The sequence below is a fragment of the Homo sapiens genome, chromosome 8 (assembly GCF_000001405.40).
Source record: "Homo sapiens chromosome 8, GRCh38.p14 Primary Assembly".
In the NCBI taxonomy this organism is placed as follows: Eukaryota; Metazoa; Chordata; class Mammalia; order Primates; family Hominidae; genus Homo; species Homo sapiens.
The window spans coordinates 34,143,844-34,168,466 of NC_000008.11; the positions used below are offsets into that span (position 1 = coordinate 34,143,844).

The 24,623-nt window shown below is 37.1% G+C and overlaps 2 long non-coding RNA genes across 6 annotated transcripts in view; one reads left to right on the forward strand and one right to left on the reverse strand.

Moving 5' to 3' along the window:
* The window catches only part of LOC105379364 (uncharacterized), a 535,736-nt gene that overhangs the window by 421,462 nt on the left and 89,651 nt on the right, over positions 1 to 24,623 (forward strand). The gene's annotated exons all lie outside the window — the stretch shown is intronic.
* LOC105379366 (uncharacterized) overlaps positions 1 to 24,623 on the reverse strand; it is a 38,081-nt gene that overhangs the window by 6,689 nt on the left and 6,769 nt on the right. The window contains exon 3 of the long non-coding RNA XR_001745705.1: positions 14,764 to 14,811. This is a non-coding gene — a long non-coding RNA (uncharacterized LOC105379366). The remainder of the gene's footprint in view (positions 1 to 14,763; positions 14,812 to 24,623) is intronic.

Here is a 24,623-nt window from a genome sequence, read left to right on the forward strand (position 1 = left end):
TCCCTGGTTACATAACATTCTAAAAGCTAAATCTTATCAGCATCATAGTTGTGTATTGATCTAAAGCTATTAATGATGATCTGTAATAAGGATAACAAATGTACTGTGAATTGACAATATTTCTCTTTTCTGATTTTCTGTAAGTTCTTCATATGTCTTAAACCATGGACTTTTCTGGTTTTTAGGTCAGATACATTTCTTGCTGATAATGGATAATCTATTTCCTTACAGTAAGCAGCAGTTGGAAAACAGCATATTCAGAAAGCATGTTAATGGATGTTTGGATAGGCATTTCAATGATGATTGCTTTAGTAAAGCAATAATAATGGGGCAATGTAATGAAGAGAGGTACAAAGACAAAGCAATAAAAAGAAAGGCAAGGATAAAGATAGAGAATGAGAAAAAATAAAACAGGCTCAATGTGACATCTGTTTGGCTCTGGAAAGGCTTAATGAATCTGACGTCTGGGGTCTCTCATTGGCCTGGGGGCTGTTTGACAAATGGTGTCCTGTGGGGAAACATGAAATGAAATCTGTGTTTCAGGGGTAGTTTTTTGATTGATCCAGCCAGGGGCCCTCAAGGGAGATACCAGTGCCTGGATAGCAATTGGTGGTGCCTTCCAACACCATGTCACCTGGAACCAAGAGGCTCGGCATCTAGATCCTTTTATTGGAGCTCTTTTAGAAGAAAAATGGGGAAATAATCTTTCAGCAAAACAAGCATAGGCAGGACACAGGATGAAACAGAGCAGTTCTGCCATAAGGAGTGGGGAAAGCCCTCACATGGTCTCTTGCCATTTGATCTCAGTGAGCCTTAGTTATCTCATCTCTTAAATGGGGTTGGGGATGGGGTAGGTGGGTGGGTGGAAGGGTATTGCTCTGAATGAAAAGTAAAATCATTTTCTAAGTAATTTCTGGTTTTGTTAAATCAATGACAAAATTCTAATTTCACCATCATGACATTCTGAACTAACACAGAACCTCCAACATGAAAAACATTTATATATCCATGTTTTAATCAGCATGTTCATAGTAGCTCATAAATTTCTGAACATTTAACCATTAACTCTTGCCAGCCTATACAAGCTGGCTTCAGCACACATTACTGCAATTCTGAGGTACCAGAAATAATTTATACCCAGATTAATAAGAGATATCAAGTTGGACCTGAAGGCATGCAAATAGATATAGGTCTTAGCGAATAGTGGCTGAGATTTTAATGTCCACTCAGAGTAAGATATATGGCTATGGAGGAGGGGGATATAGAGGAGAGTGGGCACTGCTGTGAGGCTGCTTGCTGAAACCAGACACCAGCAAAAAGCTGAGACCCTGTAAGAGCTGCCCAGTTTGTCAAAGAGGTAAGAAAACACCGTAAATACTAAGAATTAACAAGGAAGCATGTCTTTCCTTTATGCTTTGGGAAAAAAAAATCCAATTAAGAACTGAAACTGAAAGCTTATGCCATGCCTAGGTATGGAATACCAATTCACATTCTGTATACAGGCATGAATTCTAAGCTGATAAATTAGAAATGTAAATGCTGATCCTGGACAAGTGAATTTTCAGAGGTGCCCAATAAAAGCAAAACAAAACAGCTCTTTAGGGCTTCCACAATACAGAAGGCAAGGGACACACACAGGAAAAAATACATTCAAGTTGAAGATAAAAACTCATTCAAAAATTACAAGTCATAGGAGGAAATGAACTATAATGGAAGGACATCAGCAGATACAAAGTGCAGGTTAAAAAAAGGTATAAAGATAAGACAGATAAACAGATGCAACAATGGAATAGATATTAACAATTAGAGAAAATGAATAAAAATTGTTGGAGGAGAAAAATAAAAATAACTGAAATTAAAAACTCAACAGAGACTTCTACTTCTGAAAAGGTGGAGTAGATGTATGATATGGTTTAGCTGTATCCCCACCCAAATCTCATCTTGAATTGTAGCTCCCATAATTCCCACATGTTGTAGGAGGGACCCGGTGGGAGATAATTGAATCATAGGGGCAGTTTCCCTCATAGTGTTCTCATGGTAGTGAATCAGTCTCACGAGATCTGAGGGTTTTATAAGGGGAAACCCCTTTCACTTGGCTCTCATTTCTCTCTTGCCTGCTGCCATGTAAGACATGCCTTTCGCCTTCCACCATGATGGTGAGGTCTTCTCAGCCATGTGGAACTGTGAGTCTTGTAAACCTCTTTTTCCTTATAAATTACCCAGTCTCGGGTATGTCTTTATCAGCAGCATGAAAACAAACTAATACAACGTACTTTCCTTCTTCTACCTAAGTATGGACTAAACACTCTGGATTGTGTCATAGTACAATTCTGAAAGGTAAAGAGAAGAAAGCAGATGAGCTAGGGTCCTTTGGAACTTGAGGAATTACTTGGTGGTAAATTCCCTAGGATTCCTTTCTTTTCACCTTCTGTATCCCAGACTTAAGTCTGAAGAAATCAGCAACCTGCAAATATCAATGATTACAGACAAATAAAAGCTCCAACAAAAGCTTGCTTTATACAGTCAAAGGATGAAGAAAGGGGGAGACTAGTAATATAGAAAACTTTTGGACAATAGCAACTCTACTCTAACAAACACCACATAGTAAAACTGTCTATACCCCTACCCCACCTGTAAAGGGCTCATGAGGATCTAGACTTCCATCCTCACCAGGGTAAACTGAGGTCTCACCAGGGTAAACTGAGGTGCCCCAATCACTCATCTGGGTTGTATTAGAGAAGTCTGAGTTGGGGCTTTTATCCTCAGTGGATGTTAATAAGCCCTCATCTTTTTATAACGTCAGTGGAGCCCAAATGGGGAAACTAAATTCCCCCCACTGCCAGCAGTAATGAGGTATCCCTCCCAGTCACTGTTGGGATTATGTCAGAAAGAACTACTGGAGAATCTGGGTTTTTAACACCACAAAATAGTATTAAGGTCATCCTCCTCACTATCATGCAGTGGAAGCCTCCTGAGGAACTAGAACTCCCACTCTATCAAGCAGTAACCCTGAACAAAGTGCTCACCTCTGTCCCATGTCAATGGAAGCTGAGTAGGAAATCCGGACTTCTGCAAGCACCTGACAGTAGTGAGGCAGTGCCTACCACTTATTTATCAGAGCCATGTCAGAGAAAGCAAGATAAAACAGAAGGTTTGTAAGACTCACAGTTTCATTACATAGTACCCCAAAGTTCCAGATTTCAATTTAAAAAAATCAGTTGTTATATCAAAAACAGAAAGATTTCAAACTGACCAAACCAAAAACAAAGAATGCCAACACAGAGATGAAAAATATGTTAGAATTATCTGGCAAAGATTTTAAAGTAGCCATCATAAAAGATGCATTACAAGCAAATACAGATACACTTGAAATAAGTGAAAAATATGAAAGCCTCAGCAAACAAAGGAAATATAAAAAATAACCTAATGACAATTTTAGTACTAAAAATATAATACCTAAAAAGAAAAAACCAGTGGACGTGCTCAGCAGCAGAATGGAGGAAAGAACTAGTGAACTGGAAGATGGAACAACAGAAATAATCTCATCTGAACAACAGAGAGAAAATAGACTGGAAAAAAAACACACCACAACACAGCCTCAGGTACCTATGGGAGTATAACAAAAGATCTAACATTTTTTTCTGTCAGACCCCTGAAATGAGAGGAGAAACAGTTGGGGTTGAAAAGTACTCAAAGAAATGATGTCTAAAAACTTCTCAAATGTGGCAAAAGATATTAATCTACAGAGTCAAAAAACTAAGCAAATCCCTAACAGGATAAACCCAAATAAATTTACATCATAGTCAAACTTCAGAAAACTAAATACAAAGAAAAAAAATCTTAAAAACAATGGTTAGAGAGAAAATACACCTTACTTATCTGGGGGGAAAACATTCAAGTGACAACCTATCCTATTTCTCTTAGAAACCACAGAGGCCAGAAAGTAGTAGTGTGACACTTTTCAAGTGCTGAAAGTAAAGGACTGTCAACCCAGAATCCTATATCCAGTGAAAATATCCTTCAGAAATGACAGAAAAATAAAGCCATTCTCATGTGAAGGGAAACTAAGAAATTTTGTCACCAGCAGACCTCACCTAAAAAGAATGGCTAAGAGAAATTCTCTGAAAAGGAAGGAAAGTAGTAAAAGAAAGAAGATAGGAAGATCAAGATGAGAAAAGAACAATAGAAACAGTAAATATATGAATAAATACATTTTCCTTCTCCTCTTGAATTTTCTTGGTGATTGATGCTTGAAGTGAAAATTATAACACTGGTTGATGTGGTTATAAATGTATGTGGAGAAACATTTAGGTAGAGTAAAGGAGTGTAAATCAGGGACAGCTTTTTATACTTCACTCAAACTGGTGAAATTGTGACACCAATAGAGTGTGATAAGTTATGTATGCATAAGGTAATACCCAGAGTAATCATCAAAAAGCTATACAAAGAGCATCTCTCAAATACCATGATACATTTTCAAGTAGCCTATAGGAAAGCAGGAAAAATTAAAGAGAGAAACAAAAACTAGACAGAACAAACAGAAAACAAAATTAAAATTTCAGATGTAAGCCCTAACAAGTCAACAATTACATTAAATTTAAATAGTCTATACCAATTAAAAAACATAGTGCATTATAAAATATGACCCAACTATACGCTGACTGTGGGAAACTCACCTCAAATATAATGGTATACACAGGTTGAAAGAAAAAAATGAAAAAAGAATTATGCAAACAAAAAGTAGGAATGATATTAATCTATATTAATATCAGACAGAGCAGTCTTCAGCACAAAGAAAATGACTGGAGACATAGAGGGACATTATATAATGTTTAAAGGGTCAACCCACCGTGAAGACATAACAATCCTGCAACAACAGAGCTACAAAATATGTGAAGAAAAAATTGATAGACCTGAAAAAAAAAGAGAAGTCTATAATTACACTCCCTCAATTGATAGAATGGTTACACAGAAAATCCCTAATGACATGGATCAATTCAATAATACCATCAACCAACAGTATACAATGGTCAAATATTTGTCCCCACCAATAGAGGTCCAATTGCTGCAGCACCATTTACTGAAAAGACTATCTTTCCTAAATTGAATTGCTATTTTACTTTTGTCAAAAATTCAGTTCAGCAATTGTGTGGATCTATTCCTGCATTCAATTGATCTATGTGTCTACTCCCCTGCCAATGCCACAGTCTGATCACTGTAGCTATACAATATAAGTCTTGAAATTAAGTAGACAGATTCCTCACATTTTATTTTTATTTTTCGATCTTGTTTCAGATATTCTAGTTTTTTTTGGCCTTTCATACATGTAAATTTATAATAATGTCTATGTAGACAAAAAATGTTGCTTTGATCTTGGTCAACTCCAGGAAATTTGACATCTTTACTGTGTTGAGTCTTCCAATTGATGAAAATGGCATGTATCTCCATTTATTTAGATTTTACTTTATTTTATAAGTATTTTGTGGTTTTAAGCATGTAAACCCTGTAAATGTTATCTTAGATTTACACCCAAATCAATTTTTTGAGAGATTTTAAATAGTATTGTATATTTAATATCAGAGTTTATGTGTTCTCTGATAGTATACAGGAATAAAGTTGATTTTTCTGTCTTATGTATTTGGTTACTGATAGTATATAGGAATAAAGTTGATTTTTCTGTCATATATTTTGTTACCTTGTGGAACTCACTTATTAGTCGTGGAATATTTTCATAGATTCCTTAAAATTTTCTACATAAACAAACATGTCATGTAGAAGACAAACCATTTTACTTCTTGCTTTCTTATATATATGATTTTATTCTCTATGTTTCTTTATTGTACTGGCTATAACTTCTTACCACTGTTAAGAGTGATGAGAGTGGACATCCTTGCCTTGTTTCAAGACTTAGAGGGAAAGCATTTAGTCTTTATCCATTACATATAATTTTAGTTGCAAGTTTTTTTCTAGACATATTTTATCAAGTTGAGGTAAATCCATCTATTCTTGAGTTTCTATTATTTTCCAATATGTGTACATGATAATTTTTTCAAAGCAGTGATAATATTTATTTTTGAGTTTAATATGTGCTTTTACCGTCAGATTATTTCAGCAAATATTTACAGAACACTTGTTCTTAAGAGCTCTTTTTTTCTTCTGATTTTTTTTTCTTTTCTGTAAAGCACCCGTTCTTACGTAAATAGGGTATCTTCTCTTTGAATATATTTTTTTAATTTTCTAATATTGGCATTTTATTTCCTTTGAGTTCCTTTTTTTCTTATTTGTGTTTGTTTTTTTAAAAAGTGTGTTAGACTTCAGTGTCTGATGATTCTTGGTTGTCTGCTGATATTTCAGGATGAGACACTAAAAAGTAGATTGGTGATAGATGCTGGCATGGATATGGAGAAAAGAACTTTATATACTTTTATTGAGAAGGTAAATTACCACAGACATTGTGGAAATTGGTATTGAGATTTTTCAAATAATTAAAAATTGAACTACCGTATGAGTTGGCAATGCCAACTCAATTTTCTTTCCAAAGGAAAGAAAATCAGTATATCAAAGGAATATCTGCACCTCTATGTTTGTTGCAGCATGATTCACAATAGCAAAGCTATGAAATCAACCTAAGTGTCCATTAATGAATGAATACATCAATGAAATATGGTATATATACCCAATGAAATACTATTCTGTCATAAAAAAGAATGAAAGCCTGTCATTTGCAGCAACGTGAATAGAACTGAAGGTCATTATGTTAAGTGAAATAGACAAAGCACAGGAAGATAAACATCACTTGTTCTCACTCCTGTATGGGAACTAAAAAAGTTGGTCTGTGGGAGGCAGAGAGTAGAATGTTAGTTACCAGAGGCTCGAAAGGGAGTGTGTGTTGTGGAGATAAAGAGTTTGGCTAATGGGTACAAAGATACAGTTAGATATAAGAAATAAGTTCTAATGTTCAATAACAGAGTAGGGTGACTATAGTTAACAACGTTTCACATATTTCAAAATAGAATAGAGAACTTGAAATGTTCCCGACAAGTAGAAATGATAAATGCTCAAGATGATGGATATCTTAAGTACCCTGACATGATCATTACATGTTCTATGAATGTAACAAATATCACATGCACCCTGTAAGTATGCACAAATATTATGCCTCCATTTTTTTTAAAGTAGATTGAAAGCACTATGCTCACTGTCCAGGCTAATCAGAATTGTTAATAAACAAAAATAAAAAGGAAAATTTCAGAAATGAAAATAAGCATAAGTAAAGGTAGATTCAAAAACGTTTTTAAAAGAGTTATTGTTTCCAGTGATTCTCCAATTAATCCTGTAAAAATTCCAGTGTTTACAGGATTTTATATTTTCACCCATTGCATGTGACTGTCCTGCTTATTTGTGTTCACTAGCCTCTGCCCCCGTGACTTTCAGCATGTGACATACCTGTGTGACATTTGCCACATCTGAACAGAAGATTAACTGTGTTTGTGTTATTTCACTCTGTCTTCCTTCTAACCTTGCCTTTTTAAGATTATGGATTCTTCTTTACTCTGGGTGCTAAAATGAGAAAATACACTGGGGGCTGGGCGTAGTGGCTCACGCCTGTAATCCCAGCACTTTGGGAGGCCAAGGCGAGCAGATCACCTGAGGTCAGGAGTTGATGACCAGCCTAGCTAACATGGTAAAATTCCACCTCTACTAAAAATACAAAAATTAGCCGGGCACAGTGGTGGGCGCCTATAATCCCAGCTACTTGGGAGGCTGAGGCAAGAGAATTGCTTGAGCCCGAGAGGCGGAGGTTGCAGTGAGCTGAGATTGTGCCACTGCACTCCAGCCTGGGCAACGGAGTGAGACTCTGTCTCAAAAAAATAAACAAACAAACAAAAAACAAAACAAAACCCAAAAAACGTGGGGCCCAACCAAGACCAGCCCAGCCCAGTAATAACCAACAGAGCTCAGGTCAACCACAGGCTTCATTACAAAATGAGTAAACAAGAAATAAGTGCCTTTTTCTGTGAGGTACAGGTATCTTAGAGTTATTTGTTACAACAGGAAAAGTTGCCTAATAAACTAATAATCTAACCTGGGGTTATTTTTCTTCTCTTTCTACACACTGATCTTGAGCAACCTTATCCATACTCTTGCCTCTAGAACACTGAGGACTTCAAGTACATATTTCAAACTTCTACCTTTCTTCTGAGCTTTAGATGCTTATTTCCATCTTCCAACCCTAACTCAAAAGTCATTCCATCTCAGGAAGCTTTTCTAAATCTTCCCCTCTGCACTTGACCAAAGTTACATGCTCTATGTGTTTCAATATCACTGTTTCATACTTTTATTTATAATGTTCACCTCATTGCAATGCAACTGTTGATCTACGTATCCTTTTTACCACTGGACCAGAATCTAGTTAAGAACAGGGACCTTATAGTCTCCAGGTTGTGAAAGAGCTTGGGCCCTACAGTCATGTTTTTTCAGTATGTGCTGAAATAATGCAAGGTAAAAATACATAGAGAATTCAATTTTTTTAATTAATTTATTTTTTTGCTTATAAACAACAGATTTTTGTTTTTCATAGTCCTAGAGCTGGGAAGTCCAAGATCATAGTGCAAACAAATTTAGTGTCTGGTGAGGGCCTATTCACTAGTTCATGGACAACCATCTTTTCATTGTGACCTCAATTGGCTGAAGGGCCAAAAATAAATATTATCACAGTTTTGGAAAAAATTCCCATTTATACTCATTGGAAATGTACTATAAGAAAAAAATGTAGCAAAAAGTGAGAAAAGGCTGGGCATGGTGGCTCATGCCTGTAATCCTAGCACTTTGGGAGGCCGAGGCAGGTGGATCACCTGAGATAAGGAGTTTGAGACAAGCCTGGCCAACATGGCGAAACCTCATCACTACTACAAATACAAAATTAGCCAGGCTTTGTGGCACATGCCTGTAATCCCAGCTACTCGGGAGGTTGAGGCAAGAGAATCACTTGAACCCAGGAGGCGGAGGTTGCAGTGAGCCAAGATCACACCACTGTACTCCAGCTTGGGCGACTGTTTCAATCAATCAATCAATAAATGCATGCATGCTGGGTACAGTGGCTCATGCCTGTAATCCCAGCACTTTGGAGACTGAGGCGGGTAGATCACCTGAAGGCAGGAGTTCAAGACCACCGTGACCAACATGGTGAAACCCTGTCTCTGCTAAAACTACAAAAATTAGCCTGGCATGGAGGCGGGCGCCTGTGGTCCCAGCTACTCGGGAGGCTGAGGCAGGAGAATCGCTTTAACTGAGGAGCGGAGATTGCAGTGAGCCGAGATGGTGCCATTGCACTCCAGCCTGGGCAATAGAGTGAGACTGCCTCAAAAACAAACAAAAAAGTAAGAAAAAATAACTATAGTTTTAAAATATGACATTTATTTTTTACTTAGGTAAAAGCAGGTAATTGAATTATAAGAAGTATAGCCCTAACTGTTCAACACCAATTTCTAAAATTCTATTGGTTTTCCACATATTGTTTTAAATCCCCAATTTTACATTAATTCCATAGAATCTATTTTGCTTTTGAAGAAGAAATGGAAAGAAGAAAGGGGGAAAAACAGAAAGGAGCCTCTTGTTGACAATATATTTACTAGACTGTATGTTAGGTAGTTTACTTTTATTTTATTCTCTTTAGAACTCTTCATAATATATATCTGCAGAAACAAGCTAGTTTTAGCGCAGTTAGATCACTTGCTCTGGGCCACTCATCTAATCATTAGTAGAGCCAAATTTGAACCTGTGTCTCCCAATTTCACATCTAGCACTCTGTTGGTGATTTACTCTGCCATCTATTTGAGTCCTTATTCATGTGTGTACCAAGAGGTCATCATCAATACATAGACACACATATGAGAGGAAGGAAGATAGAATGCTGTGTTATTTAAAACTAACCATCCCCATTGCAGAGAGAAATCATCAGGGACCCACTGAGAATATTGTGGTGGCTTCTTCAATGGACTGCTTGTTGATGTGATGTTTCCTAATGTTTTCAGCAATCACTCCATGGTTTATCACCCTGATGTGAAGATGGGTTTGAGTGTTTGAAGTGTGAGAGAAGTTTCTCAAGCAGATAGAGTGAACTAATTTTCAGCCATTAATAACGTGTCTATTTCTATTTTCTTTCTGGCATCTCCAGGACTACATTAAAGGCTCACTGACCTGTTACATTTAATTTGAGAAAAAACAAATCCACTTTTGAAATCATGGAAACCAGAAACATTAGAAAGAACAGAACTCTATTTTCACCCCTAGAACTGAAAATAGTGGTTATGGTTTGAAATGCTTTACAATGGGAACATAATATGATTGTTATTAGAATAGAAATGTCTCCAGAGTTTTGAAATACATATTGTTTTTATTTACTCTTAAAGCAATGCCATTCTGACATATTTTAAAATTAAGTTTTAATATCTTAAAAATATTTTAAAATATTTTAAAAATAAGTTTTGTAATTCAGGTGTTGCATTTTCATTCTCACAAATGCCTTTGGTTATGAGCTTTCCAAAAGGGAGTGCAAAAAAGGTGAAAAGGGAAGGGAGCCCCTTGGCCCAGCACTACCGTGGCTGCTTTAGCTTCCTCCATCAGGATCTGTGTTTGTGTACCTAGCAGTTCACTTCTTCTCAAACATATCATTATCCTGTGCTTATCCATTTCCATTTATTGGAAATAATGTTTGTTTAAAGGGAATATTAAAATTTGTTACTGGGTGCATTGACTTAATTTGATATTTATTGAATGCCCACTATCTGCCTATTGCTGTTATTAAAAAGAAAGACAGGTTTTTGCTTTTGTATAGCTTACATTCATGTGAGAGTGTGTGTGTGTGTTTGTGTGTGAGTGTGAGTGTAAGAGAGAGACAGACCAGTGCCATTAGTGACATGAAATATGAAAAAAGAGATGGAGACCAACTAGGGGCTGAGGACAAAAATGGTTTTAGACAGGGTCATCAAAGAAAGATCAAATTAAATTTGATCTGAGTCCTGAGTTGTAAGAAAAATTACAGAAGGGCAAGGAGCAGGTGCTGGAAGCAGAGGGAACAGCAAATGCCCTAGAATATTCAAGCAAAAGAAAGAAAACCAGCGTTGCTGTGATATAGAAAACAGGAAGAAGAGCTCAAAATGAAGTCAACCATTTAGAGAAATGCAGTCACAGTGAGGATTTTGCATTTTATTCTAATTCCAGTGGGAAATTATTGAAGAGTTTTAACCAGGGGAATAATGTAATCTGATAAAAATGAAGAGTTAACGTCTAAAAATGGAGGATTTAAGCTTTGTATTTTAGCATCGTTTTAAAGGTAAAAGATCAACAGTAATTATGAAGAAGGCAGCACAACAATTTTGCACATCTTCTTTCCCGCTTGCCCTTTTCCCTCTAGAAAGCCCATGATTTGACTTTATGTTTTTGTAATGGCAAAAATCAAGCTTGCGTGGAGCCCCTCTGGCTTGGTGGTTTTCCCGCATATGTCAGTTGAGTCTGATGCCAGGTGGCAATTGAAATAAACACAGACTATTAGTTCAATCATTGGAGCATTTTCTATCTTACTAGGAGGAGGTGAATATCAAGTGAATTTGATGAATTGTGAATTCACTAACCGGCAGCTGTGGCTAGAATGGAAACTGAGACATAGACCAAAAAGGTGACAGCTCTTTGAGCAGGAGTCGCTGGAAACACAGCACATGAACTTCCCCTGCAGCCTGTGTTCCTTGGCAATAACATGTGCTCTCGGGTGTGCTGGCAGAGACCATGTGGCCATCTGTCCTAGAGCAATGGGTTTCCGTGGTATCCTGTCATTCAGTTAAAACTGTTCACAGATTAAAAAAAAAAGATGAAATGTTTCTATATTCCTCACCGCTTCTAAGGAAAGAATGATATCTGGCTAACCTACGGACAGAATACAAGGTACCGTCCTTTGGAGATTGCCTGGAAGCAGCAATCTGGAAAGTTAAGTGCAGATTTTAAGTGCAGAACATCTGATGTGTAGTTGCTACATTTCTGTGGTTATTCAGCAAACTGTTGGGATACTGATAATGTCTATTTGAGGATATTTGCATATCTATCTTATCTGAATGTAATTTTCTGGTTAGTGTTGTACAACACTGGGAGACAGAGAAATGTTATCACTCTAAGTATGCTATATTAAAAGTTTAAATCTAAAGGACAAGCCTTTCCTTTTTAGTCTCTGTGTATGATTTTGGAAATTCTGATACTTTAACAGTACAAGGTCCTACATATTTTAGCCAATATTCTCCTCCTACGATGGGTATGAGGCAGGTGTGCTTAATAACTCCTTTCTGCAGTTATAGAACTTAATGCTTAGGTAGATTTTTCTGAGAGTCTCACTAGAAGGCATTGGATGAGCTGTTTACAAAAAAACTAACTTTACTTCAACAAAGTGTCTTTTAATACCTACTGATATGGTTTGCCTCTGTGTTTCCACCCACATGTTATAACTCCCATAATTCCCAGGTGTTGTGGGAGGGACCCGGTGGGAGATGATTAAATCATGGGGACGGATCTTTCCTGTGCTGTTCTCATGATAGTGAATGGGTCTCACAAGATCTGATGGTTTTAAAGATAGGAGTTGCCCTGCCCAAGCTCTGTTTTTTGCCTGCTGCCAAGTCACATAAACTGTGACTTGCTCTCCATTGCCTTCTGCCATGATCGTGAGGCTTCCCCAGCCATATGGAGCTGTAAGTTCAATAAACTTCTTTCTTTAGTAAGTTACCTAGTCTTGGGTATGTCTTTGTCAGGAACATGAAAATGGACTAGTACAATAAGTTGGTAACGGGAGTGGAGACCTGCTGAAAAGATACCTGAAAATGTGGAAGTGACTTTGGAACTGGGTAACAGGCAGGCGTTGGAACAATTTGGAGGGCTCAGAAGAAGAAAGGAGAATGTGGGAAAGTTTGGAACTTCCTAGAGACTTGTTAAATGGCTTTGACCAAGATGCTGATAATGATATGGACAATGAAATCCAGGCTCAGGTGGTCTCAGATGGAGATGAGGAACTTGTTGGGAACTGGAGCAAAGGTGACTCTTGTTATGTTTTAGCAAAGAGACTGATGGCATTTTGCCCTGCCCTAGAGATTTGTGGAACTTTGAACTTGAGAGAGATGATTTAGGATATCTGGTGGGAGAAATTTCTAAGCAGCAAAACATTCAAGAGGTGACTTGGGTGCTGTTAAAGACATTCAGTTTTAAAAAGGAAACAGAACATAATAGCTTGGAAAATTTGCCTCCTGGCAATGCAATAGGAAAGAAAATCCCATTTTCTGAGGAGAAATTCAAGCTAACTGCAGAAATTTGCATGAGGAGGAGCCTAATGTTAATCCCCAGTACAATGGGGAAAATGTCTCCAAGGCATTTCAGAGGTCTTCATGGCAGTCCCTCCCATCACAGGCCTGGAGGCCTAGGAGGAAAAAGTGGTTTCATGGGCTTGGTCCTGGATCCCTGTGCTGTGTGTGGCCTAGGCACTTGGTGCCCTGTGTCCCAGCCACTCCAGCCATGGCTGAAAGTGGCCAACATAGAGCTTGGGCCATCAGTTCAGAGAGTGCAAGCCTTAAGCCTTGGTGGCTTCCATGTCATGTTGAGCCTGCCAGTGCATGGAAGTCAAGATTTGGGGTTTGGGAACCTCTGCCTGGATTTCAGAGGATGTAGGGAAACACCTGGATTTCCAGGCAGAAGTTTGCTACAGGGGCAGGGCTCTCATGGAGAACCCCTGCTAGGACAGTGCAGAAGGGAAATGTGGAGTGGGCACCCCCACACAGACTCCTCACTGAGGCACTGCCTAGTGGAGCTGTGAGAAGAGGGCCACCATTCTCCAGACTCCAGAATGGTAGATCCACCAACAGCTTGCACTGTGCACCTGGTAATGCTGCAGATGCTCAATACCAGCCCATGAAGGCAGCTGGAAGGGAGGCTGTACCCTGCAAAGCCACAGGGATGGATCTGCCCAAGACTACGGGGACCTACCTGTTGTATCAGCATGACCTGGATGTGAGACATGGAGTCAAAGAAGATCATTTTGTATCTGTAAAATTTGACTGCCCTGCTGGCTTTTGGACTTAAATGGGGCCTGTAGCCCCTCTGCTTTGGCCAGTTTCTCCCATATCAAATGGCTGTATTTACCCAATGCCTGTACTCTCATTGTGTCTAGGAAGTAACTAACTTGCTTTTGATTTTACAGGCTCATGGGCAGGAGGGACTTGCCTTGTCTCAGATGAGACTTTAGACTATGGACTTCTGAGTTAATGCTGAAATGAGTCGAAACTTTGGGGGACTGTTGGGAAGGCATGATTGGTTTTGAAATGTGAAGATATGAGATATGGGAGGGGCCAGAGGCTGAATGATATGGTTTTGTGCTGTGTCCCCACCCAAATCTCACCCTGTAGCTCCCATAATTACCAGGTATTGTGAGAGGGACCCAGTAGGAGATGACTGAATTTTGGGGGTAGGTCTTTCCTTTGCTGTTCTCGTGACAGTGAATGGGTCTCACGAGCTCTAATGGTTTTAAAAACAGGAGTTGCCTGTCCAAGCTCTCTTTTTCTGCCTGCTGCCATCCACATAAGATGTGACTTGCTCCCCCTTACCTTCTACCATGATTGTGAGGCTGCTCCAGCCACGTGGAACCGTAAGTCCAATAAACCTATTTCTTTTGTAAATTGCCTAGTCTCAGGTATGTCTTTATCAGCAGCATGAAAATGGACTAACGTATATACAAACCTGCGAGGTGAGGCTTCTGTCCTTTCTCTCATGGAGCATATATTCTTCCTGGAACAATATGGTAAATAGTTCAGTTTGATAAAATTTAAACTGAAAAATGCAGTATTGGGGGATAATCTAACAAGTGTCTAGAACATTTGTATAAGAAGGAGAATACTATATTAAGAATCTAGACTTTGTGTTGTGGAGCTGTTGACAAATTTTAAATAGAAACATAATCCTATTTGTGTTTTAGAAAGATCAATTTGGCAATGTGTGTAAAATATATATACAGTCATCCCTCCATATCAGCAGGGAATTTATTCCAGAACCTCCCCTTCCAAACCAAAATCTGTGGATGTTCAAGTCCCTTATATAAAAGTATGCAAGTATGCACACCCTCCCATATATTTTAAATCATCTCTAGATTGCCTTCGGGTTTTTTTCTTCTTTTTTTTTTTTTTTTTTTTTTTTTGACAGTCTCACTCTGTTGGCCAGACTGGAGTGTAGTGGTGCAATCTTGGCTCACTGCAACCTCTACCTCCCAGGCTCAAGTGATTCTCTTGCCTCAACCTCCCAAGTAGCTGGGATCACAGGGGTGCACCACCACACTCAGCTAATTTTTGTATTTTTAGTAGAGACAAGGTTTCACCATGTTGGCCAGGCTGGTCCTGAACTCCTACCCTCAAATGATCCATGTGTCTCGGCCTCCCAAAGTGCTGGGATTACAAGCATGAGCCACTGTGCCTGGCCTATACTGCTTAATACCTAATGCCATTTAAAATGCTATGTAAATAATTGTTATATTGTATTATTTTGAATTTGTGTTTTTAATGTTGAATTATTTTTTAATCATTTTTTCCCAGATATTTTAGATCTGCAGTTGGTTGAATCTGCCATGCAGAACCTGCAGACATGGAGAAAATGACTGTATATTGGAAGAGGCTGATAATGGATGTAGAGAAACAAAACTACTTAATAAATTCAACCAAGTCAGATAAATTCAGGTCTACTTCCTGGGGTTCAAAAATCTCAGCCAATTGCTTAATACACCGTTGTGTGTTTTTCATGTATTTCATTTACACTTCCACATTACAACTATGTGTATTGATACTGAATGAGAAATGACCGCTGGAGTCAAATGACCCCTGGAGAATTCAGCTAATGGTACTAAGCTGAGTAGCCATCTGGAGAAATAAAATAAGATCTCGACCTCACAACTTATACCACAAAATTTACAGATCGATCATAGATTTAAGGTAACAAACTGAAATCAAGTCTTTAGAAGGCACCATGGAAGAATTGCATGTAGGTAAATATATAGGAATATTTTGTATATGTAAGATAAATATGCATATAAACTATATATGTAAAAATTTATATATGAAAAATAAAACCCCAATCTAAAACCCCAATCTATAAGGAAAAAGATTGCTGACCTCAACTAGATCAGCAGCAGCAGCACCACTATCATCTACATGTAAAACCCATAATAGGAAAAATGCAAAAGACAAATGACAAATGAAGAGAACATACTTGGAAGGACTGATATTTTTAACATTGCTCTTTTAAAAAAACATTCCAATAACCTAGTAGGAAAACAATAAGCAAAAGACATAAAAGGATGGTTCACAGAAAAAATATATAAATGGCTCAAATATATGAGAAGATGCTCAACTTCACTCATAATAAGAGAAATACAAACCAAACTATACAAAGATACCAATTTTGCATAGTGGTTTGGCATGCATATTGCTGTTGGCAAGGGTTGAGGGAGCAGGCACTCTCAGACGTTTTGGATAAGAATGTAAATTGCTGTAATCTCTTTGTGGCAGTGCAGGGTGTTAAAAGAAAAACTTCAGCTGAATTAAATTTAAAGGAGTTTAATTGAACAATGACCGATTTGTGAATCGGGCAGCCCCCAGGATCACAGCAAATTCAGGGAGACTCCAGGAATACCTCATGTTCAGAACAAATTTATAGACAAGAAAAGGGAAGTGAGGTACAGAAATCAGAAGTGAGGTACAGAAATAAGTGGATTGGTTACAGCTCAGCGTTTGCCTTATTTGAACAGTTGGAGCACTCAGTAGCCTATGACTGGTTGAAGTATGGCTGCTGGGCTTGGCCGAGACTGAACTATTTTTACAGGCGCACACTGCTAAGTTAGGTCTTGTATCATGTCTACCTATTAAGTTAGGTTGCAGTTCGTCCACAAGGACTCAATATAGAAGTACAGAGTCCTTCTCAGGCCATATTTAGTTTGCTTTAATGGGGCAATTTGAAAACAGCTATTAAAATAGAAAATAACAAAATGTCCTTTGAGTGGGCAATTCCACCTCTAAGAAATTATCTTGGCCGGGCGCAGTGGCTCACCCCTGTAATCCCAGCACTTTGGGAGGCCGAGGGGGGTTGGATCACCTGAGGTCAGGAGTTCAAGATCAGCCTGACCAACATGGTGAAACCCCATCTCTACTAAAAATACAAAATTTAGCCAGGCATTATGGCGCGTGCCTGTAATTGCAGCTACTCAGGAGGCTGAGGCAGGAGAATCACTTGAACCCGAGAGGCAGAGGTTGCAGTGAGCCAAGATCGCACCACTGAACTCCAGCCTGGGTGTCACAATGAGACTCTGTCTCAAAAAAAAAAAAAAAAAAAAAAAAAAAATTAGCCGTGGGTGGTGGCGCATGCCTGTAGTCCCAGCTACTTGGAAGGCTGAGGCAGGAGAATCGCTTGAACCCGGAAGGCAGAGGTTGCAGTGAGCCGAGATTGTGCCACTGCACTCCAGCCTAGGCGACAGAGTAAGACTCGGTCTCAAAAAATAAAAAAAAAGAGAGAAATTATCTTAAATATATGCTTTGCCTATGTAAAATTTTATATGTGTGTGTTTATTATACAGGGCATTTTTTCTGAAGCAGCAAAATTTTGGAAACAATCTAAATATCCGTTAATGGGGAATGATTAAATCAGAATATCCTACAATGGAGCACTATGCAACAATATATAAAGGAATGAGGCAAGCTATTCATGGTCTTAAATGGAAAGGCTCCCATATTAATTGTTTAAAAAGTGCAAACAGGTGCATTGGTACCCTAATATTTGCGTAATATGAGATAAAAAAGAGTAAATATATGTAGATCCATATATATTCAGGGTTAATTACATATGCATGAAATACCTCTGTAACAATGTAAACTACAGTGATAAAATTTGTTGATCCAGAATGGAGAAATTGGGAGTCTGGAGTTTAGGATTGGGAGAGATCATTTTTACATTCTACTCTTCCTTTTGTACCTTTTTCATTTTGTACCATGTGAATGTATAATCTACAGAAAAAAATAATATTAAAGAGAAGAACAGAACCAACCATCAGAAGTCAAAAATAATCTGTAATAAAGGACTACAGACTATAAGAGATTAATTTTTTCCCCACCTAGTTTCTTATTTAATGTTTGTCTGTGATCATTTCTTTTCACAAATGAAGAAATTGCATTGTAAAGATAAGTAACTTTTCCACAATGATGTAGCTAGGAAGTGGACCTTAGATCTGGCTTCATATCTCATTCATTTAGTCCTGTTTGCATTTCAATTTCCAATGCTTTACTTGTTTCAACACTTTTTTTTATTTTAATATAACGGACATAGCTAAAATGTGTTGGTGCCTACTTCTTTCCTGCACAGAACTTTCTATTGTTGTTTTTTCCCTTTTAGAGTTTTAGGAAGCTTAGGAGTAAGGTTGAGTTCAAAAATGCCTTGAAACACAAGGACAAGAGACAAAGTCTGAGAGCACAGTTAGTGGCCCCAAAGTTAGACTTCAGACTGCCACTCAGAAATAGTTATAACAGGCAACTCTACCTTACAGAAACTTGAAGAACATGATAAATCATTCATCCTTGTTTGAGAGGTCACTTTATTACATGCTGCATGAGTGGCAGATGGAAGGAAAATACTTAGAAATGTACTAGGAGAATGGTTTTGTCTATGTACCCTGTGGATATTATGTTTATTAAGTCCTATCTTACTTTCGAGGAGAAAATTGTGCCCAGTAATTATGTGTCTCTTACTTGTCAGTTCCTAAGAGATCCGCTGACAGATAGGGTGCCAATTATATTGACAGATCCTGCTCCCTGAATTCCACAGTGGCGTGGCTTAGCTTTGCCCTCTCCCACCTGCTAAGAGTAGATCATTAAAGTAGGTAGAGAGACACCATCAGGAAAGGAACACAGCCAACAAGGTGGAGGGGCCAAGTTTTCTTTTAATCATAGGTCTCCCTCCAACTGAGCAAGTTCCAAGGATGAGAGTCATGTAAAACAAGAAGTCTCAGAAGCACAGAAGTGTAAGAACATGGAAGGAAAGAGTCCATGCTGGTCTCATTGAAATGAGATGGGCTGTAAGGCTAGCCTTCATGGCTTGGTTTTGTTGTTATTTGATTTAAAAAATCAAATGGCTTTTCTAGCAGGGTTAATTAAAGTCTGGATTTAAGTATAAAGATTGCTGAAGGATCTGATGTTGGTCTTGTCCTTCATAATTAGAGGCACTTGTGATATTAACTTGGCTAAACAACTGCGACAAAATTGAAATAGCCAGAAGAGACTCTTCATTCAATACCAAAATATTACATTTAGAGTTAATATTCAGTGTTAGTGAGGAACAAATGGGCAATTTACCTGTTAGTGGGTGTTAAATTAGTGCAGTTCTTCCAAAGAGTTTTAACAATGTTTCAAATATGGTTAAAATGTTCATACATGTTCAATCAGCATTCCACATCAAATTATTTCTCTTAAATTTCTTAAATATTTGAACAAATATGTACAAGGATGTTCATAGCAGTGTTGTTTATAATGGTCAGAAACTGTGAGCCTCCTAAATGTTTAGGAAAAGGATTGGAGAAATATTCAGTCATTATAATGTCAATCTGTATTTATCAATATGGGGAGACGTTCATGTGTTATCCGAGAAAGATAGTTTACAAACCACATTTGTAGTGTGATTATGGTTTTTGCACATTTATACACCATACATGCCTAGTGTAAAATATACAATAACATGTGCCCAGCAATTCCCTTTGTGTGATAGGCCTAATAATGCCTTTCTTTTTTTGTACTTTTTGTTTACATTTTCTATTTTTTCCACTACAAACGTGAATTACTTATGAGATGAAAAAAAGAAAAAAAAATCTGCTAAGGGATCTACCATCCAAAGCATTTTATCTAAATTTTAAGTTGAAACATTAAAAATAGATAATATTATGTGCTCTAATAAATAAAACTAGTGTACTAGTATTCAGTATATAGCAGGTTTGGAGAGTGACAACCAGTTTGGTTTACCTATAATATAATTTGCAAGTAGATGATTAGTGGATCCTAAGCTAAGAAGCCTGCACTCTGTTCAATAGTCTTTCAACAAGTTGAGGGAGCTGTACCATTTGAATAGGGTAATGATCTGATTAATTGTGCCATAAGACAATTAATATGGCGATACTTCATAAGATGAATGGGAGGAAGAAGACATCTCTTTTAAAATATCTTGACTGATCAACAGAAATTTGTCAGTAGTAAATTACTCATTTCCATCCATGTTTATAACACTACTATCTTTTGTTCATCAAGTTGATATACATTCAGAGTTATATTGATGAGAGACATGCTTACTTGTGGAGGGAAAACAAGGAAGGTCACATTTAAACCTTAACAAGACTATTTTTGTCTCATGTAGCTTTCTCATCACAGAAGTAGTACTAGGCCCAAAGAAGTTATTCACATACTGGTTAAGCACTTATTCTCTAGAATTAGAATGTTTGGTTCTGAAGTCATTCTACCACTTAATAGATGTGTGACTTGGAACAAGTTACTTATACTTTCTGTGCCTTAATTTACTTACCTATTAAATAGGAAATTTACAGAATCTACTCCATAGTGCAGCTGTGAAGAGTAAATTAAATAATACCAATAAAGTGTTTAGAACAGTGGCTGGCTCATAGCCTTCAATAAATATTGAGGATATTATTTTTCTCCTTTTGAAAAAAGAAAAATAAGAGTCAATGTTATGTCTGGACTTGAATTTGTTGTAGTTTGCAAATCTGCAAGGAGAGAACCAGACCTAGTGGTCTGCATTTTGTTTGTTTGTTGCTTGCTTGCTTCTTTTTGCTAGCAAGAGAATCTATTTGGTATGTAGAGTAGAAATAAATTAACCCAAGGCTAGGGAATTCATTTCAAAGCTTAAATGAAAAAATTTAATTCTTATAGAACACATTTTATACTTTAAGTGCACAAACACGATTTCCAATAACAAAACTGTTTATAAATTTAAGTGGTTAAATTATTTTATTTATAAAGTTTTCTTCCCACTATCAGGAAATATAGGGAATCATATAACTGAGCTTAGCGAGTTTGTGTAGTTTAATCTTGTAGGACTTGACCCACCCTATTCTTTGTGTATGATACTGATGTGGACACTGAAATATAAATAGTGCATAAACACCTTTCTCTCCCCTTTAATTCATGGTTAGTAACATACTTTGAATTCCATAAGTCTTGTCATTAGTTAAATTATAGTGTATTCATGTATTTAAAGTCAAAGACTTTTAAGTCCACAATTTTTCATTTATACATCCCATTTACAAAATGTGAATCCTAAACTTCATGATATTTTAGGACATGGCCACGTTTAAAGTTCTATGACAATAAATATGTGGCTGGGAGTCAATATTCCTGGATGGGTAAGTGCTTGCTAGAGGGTAACTCTCATAGGATGAAATGGTTGGTGGTTTGGTTTCAACTTGTGTGGGCATGTAATTTAATATTTCAAATGATTTTAGAGTTCATTTATCCAACTAATATCTAATGGATAGCTACTAAGTGTCAGACACTCTTCAAACTACGGGATTAAACCTCCATCAGACAAGTGACCTCATTTTATGGAACTTACGTTCTGCTTTACAAGACAGGATATATGAGAAAAGTAAATAAACAAGGTTTTCAGGCAGTGCTAAGTTCTGAGAAGAGAAGAAAATGAGATACGGTGGCAACCAGTAACTATGGAGACTGTGTTAGATCAAATCATCAGGGAAATTCTCACTGAGAGCTTGACATTTGAGCTGTACCTGATCCCAGAGACCTCTCTCCAGGTCCTTTGTCAAGACATTCAATGATCACCTTGGAGGGTTTGTTTGTTTGTTTGTTTATTTTAAATAGACCTTGCATTTTAGAATAGTTTCAGATTTACAGAAAAAATTGTGAAGATTATAATAGAGTTCCCTTATACCTCACCAGTTTCTGATATTGTTAATGTCTTACATTAATATGGTATGTTTGTCACAATTAATGATCCGATATTGACACATTATTATTGATTAAAGCCCCTACTTTATTTCTTTTAAACTTCTGTCCTTTTTCTGTTTCGGGTTAAACTTCTGCCCTTCTGTTTCAGGATTCCATCCAGAGTACCAAATTACATTCGGTTGTCATGTCTCCTAGAGACCTCTTGGCTTTACCAGTTTCTCAGACTTTCCTTGTTTTTAATAATCTTGATAATTTTATAGAGTATTGGTCAGGTATTTTGTTGAATGGCCCTCAATTAGGATTTGTCTGATGATTTTTGTAATGATTAGACTGGGGTTATGTGTTTTGGAGATGAAGGTCACAGAGGTAAAGTGCCATTTTCAGTGCATCATATCAAGGGTACATATGAGCAACATGAGCTGTCAGTGTTGATGTTCCCTTGATTACCTGACTGAGTTAGTGTTTGTCAGGTTTCTCTGCTGTAAAGTATATACATAAACTGGTCTTTGTAGAAAATGAGTGAGGGGAGAAGGCAGAGGAGTCTGGAGCTAAGAACCTAGAAAGTTTGCTTGATAATAACAGTGGTGCTCAAAGATAACTAATTTGCTGGCAATAGGTGGAGAAATTTAGAGGAAAAAGAAATGGGACAATTTCCTTCTGTAGTCTCAGCATATTAAGATATTCTCTAATATTTCATGTACAAATTTGCATTTTACAATTAGAGTTTTATAAATAATCATTGTATAATAAAGGAGTCCATTTTATATGTGGATAAGCAAATGTCTCAGCATGTTTTGTTGAATTTTTTCACTGATCTGTATTGTCACCCTTTTCATATATCAAGCTTGCTTATACATGTGAGTCTGGTTCTAAGTTCTCTATTCTTCTTCGTTAGTCTATTTGTGTATAACTGTGCTGATTCCACATTGTCTTAATTATTAGTCTTATAATAATTTGATATTTGATTAAACCTAATCTTCTGATTTGTTGTTTTTCAAAATTTCCAGGATTCATGTCATGATAGCGTCATGACCATTCTTGGCTTATAGGTGGTCAAATTACATGACAAACCTTATTGGAAATTTATTTTGAATTGCATTGAATTTATAGATTAATCTAAATGATACTGAGTTAGTGTAACTATGAACTAAGTTACATTTGAAATTCTTTGTGTTGATTCTGGAGTGTTTACTCATTTATTCATTCACCACCAAGATGGCATACGGTAAGAACACAGGATGGTGCAGCTGAGCTTGGGTGAAAGAAAAAGATCATTGAAGGACAGAACACCAAGGAATTATATTGCTGCAGTTGCACTGAAGATTATCTATGTTTCATTTGAAGTCATAAAGAATTATGATTGGGGCAGGGTTGACAGGGTTAGAGAAAGTGAAAACAAGCTGCTAGCTAAAATCTTTAAGGAATCCTGAAAAAATCCAAGGACGTATATATGACTTGAAAAAGAAATGAGTGCATGTGGAATAATGTAATGATTTTAGATTCAAATTTGAGAGGCTTTTATGTTGGAGAGGGACACTATGGTTTGGAAGAAGCTATGACAGTTGTTCAAACAAACCTTACACTCATGTGAGGGCAGACCTGTGGTTACTCGGAGGAGTTTGTGGTCATTGTTTTTGCACCCAAAGTCCAGGTAAAGACAGGCAATCTTGTTTATAATTTCTTGTGCTGGTATGTTTTTAAAAAATATATAGTTCACCTTTTCCTTGAGAATATAGCTCTTCAGTCTTGGCTTTGTAGGGAGGATTTTTGGTTCTTACTTTACTTTGACCAGTCTCAAGACCTTTTCTCTTGACAGGATTGGCGACTAAAACCCAAGTCCCTTTGTTCCTGAGTTTGCTTTGCTTTCACCCCTATTCCAGCAAAATTATCAAGTTCCTCTTTATAATGTGGTTTTTAATATCTTTATTTGACTTCTGAGATATGCTTTCTTTCCTTTAGGCCTTATTCGTCAAATATGTATTTAAAAAGATGTCTTATATATTTTCCAGCATTTTAAGCTGCTTTGAATTAGTTAGTCATGGTGCTAAAAATGGGAATTCCTTGCACTTGCTCTTTCTCCCTCAAAATGAACAAGGAAAAAAGTTTATGTGAAGACCAAAACTTACCATATAATATTATAAAATAAATGGAAACTAGCAACACATATAATCACTGCAACATTTTTGGACTTCTGTAAAAATAGCCCATTTTTCTACCACACTTTACACATCAACATATGTTGTTCAAATATTTGAAATGATGCAGTGATTTCATTTCTACTTTGTGAAACACATATTACAAGTTGCCCAATCATATACATTTATGCAGGTAGTTATTTTCTCAAGCAATAGACTAGCATATGCATGTGTACAAAAGCATGGACACTTAAATATTTGAACAACACTCACATTGTATTTTAATAAAATAAAAGTGATTTTTTCTCTTTTTCACTGTTGTATGATGGCAATTAAATATCAGTTGAACTCAACTTGTAAAATTCTCTCATCACACATTTGAATCAAACTTCATTAATAGATTGGCCCAAAAGAGTATCCTATAGGTGCAGGCAAACAAGGCCCAGATACCAGTCTATGTGTGGGCCCC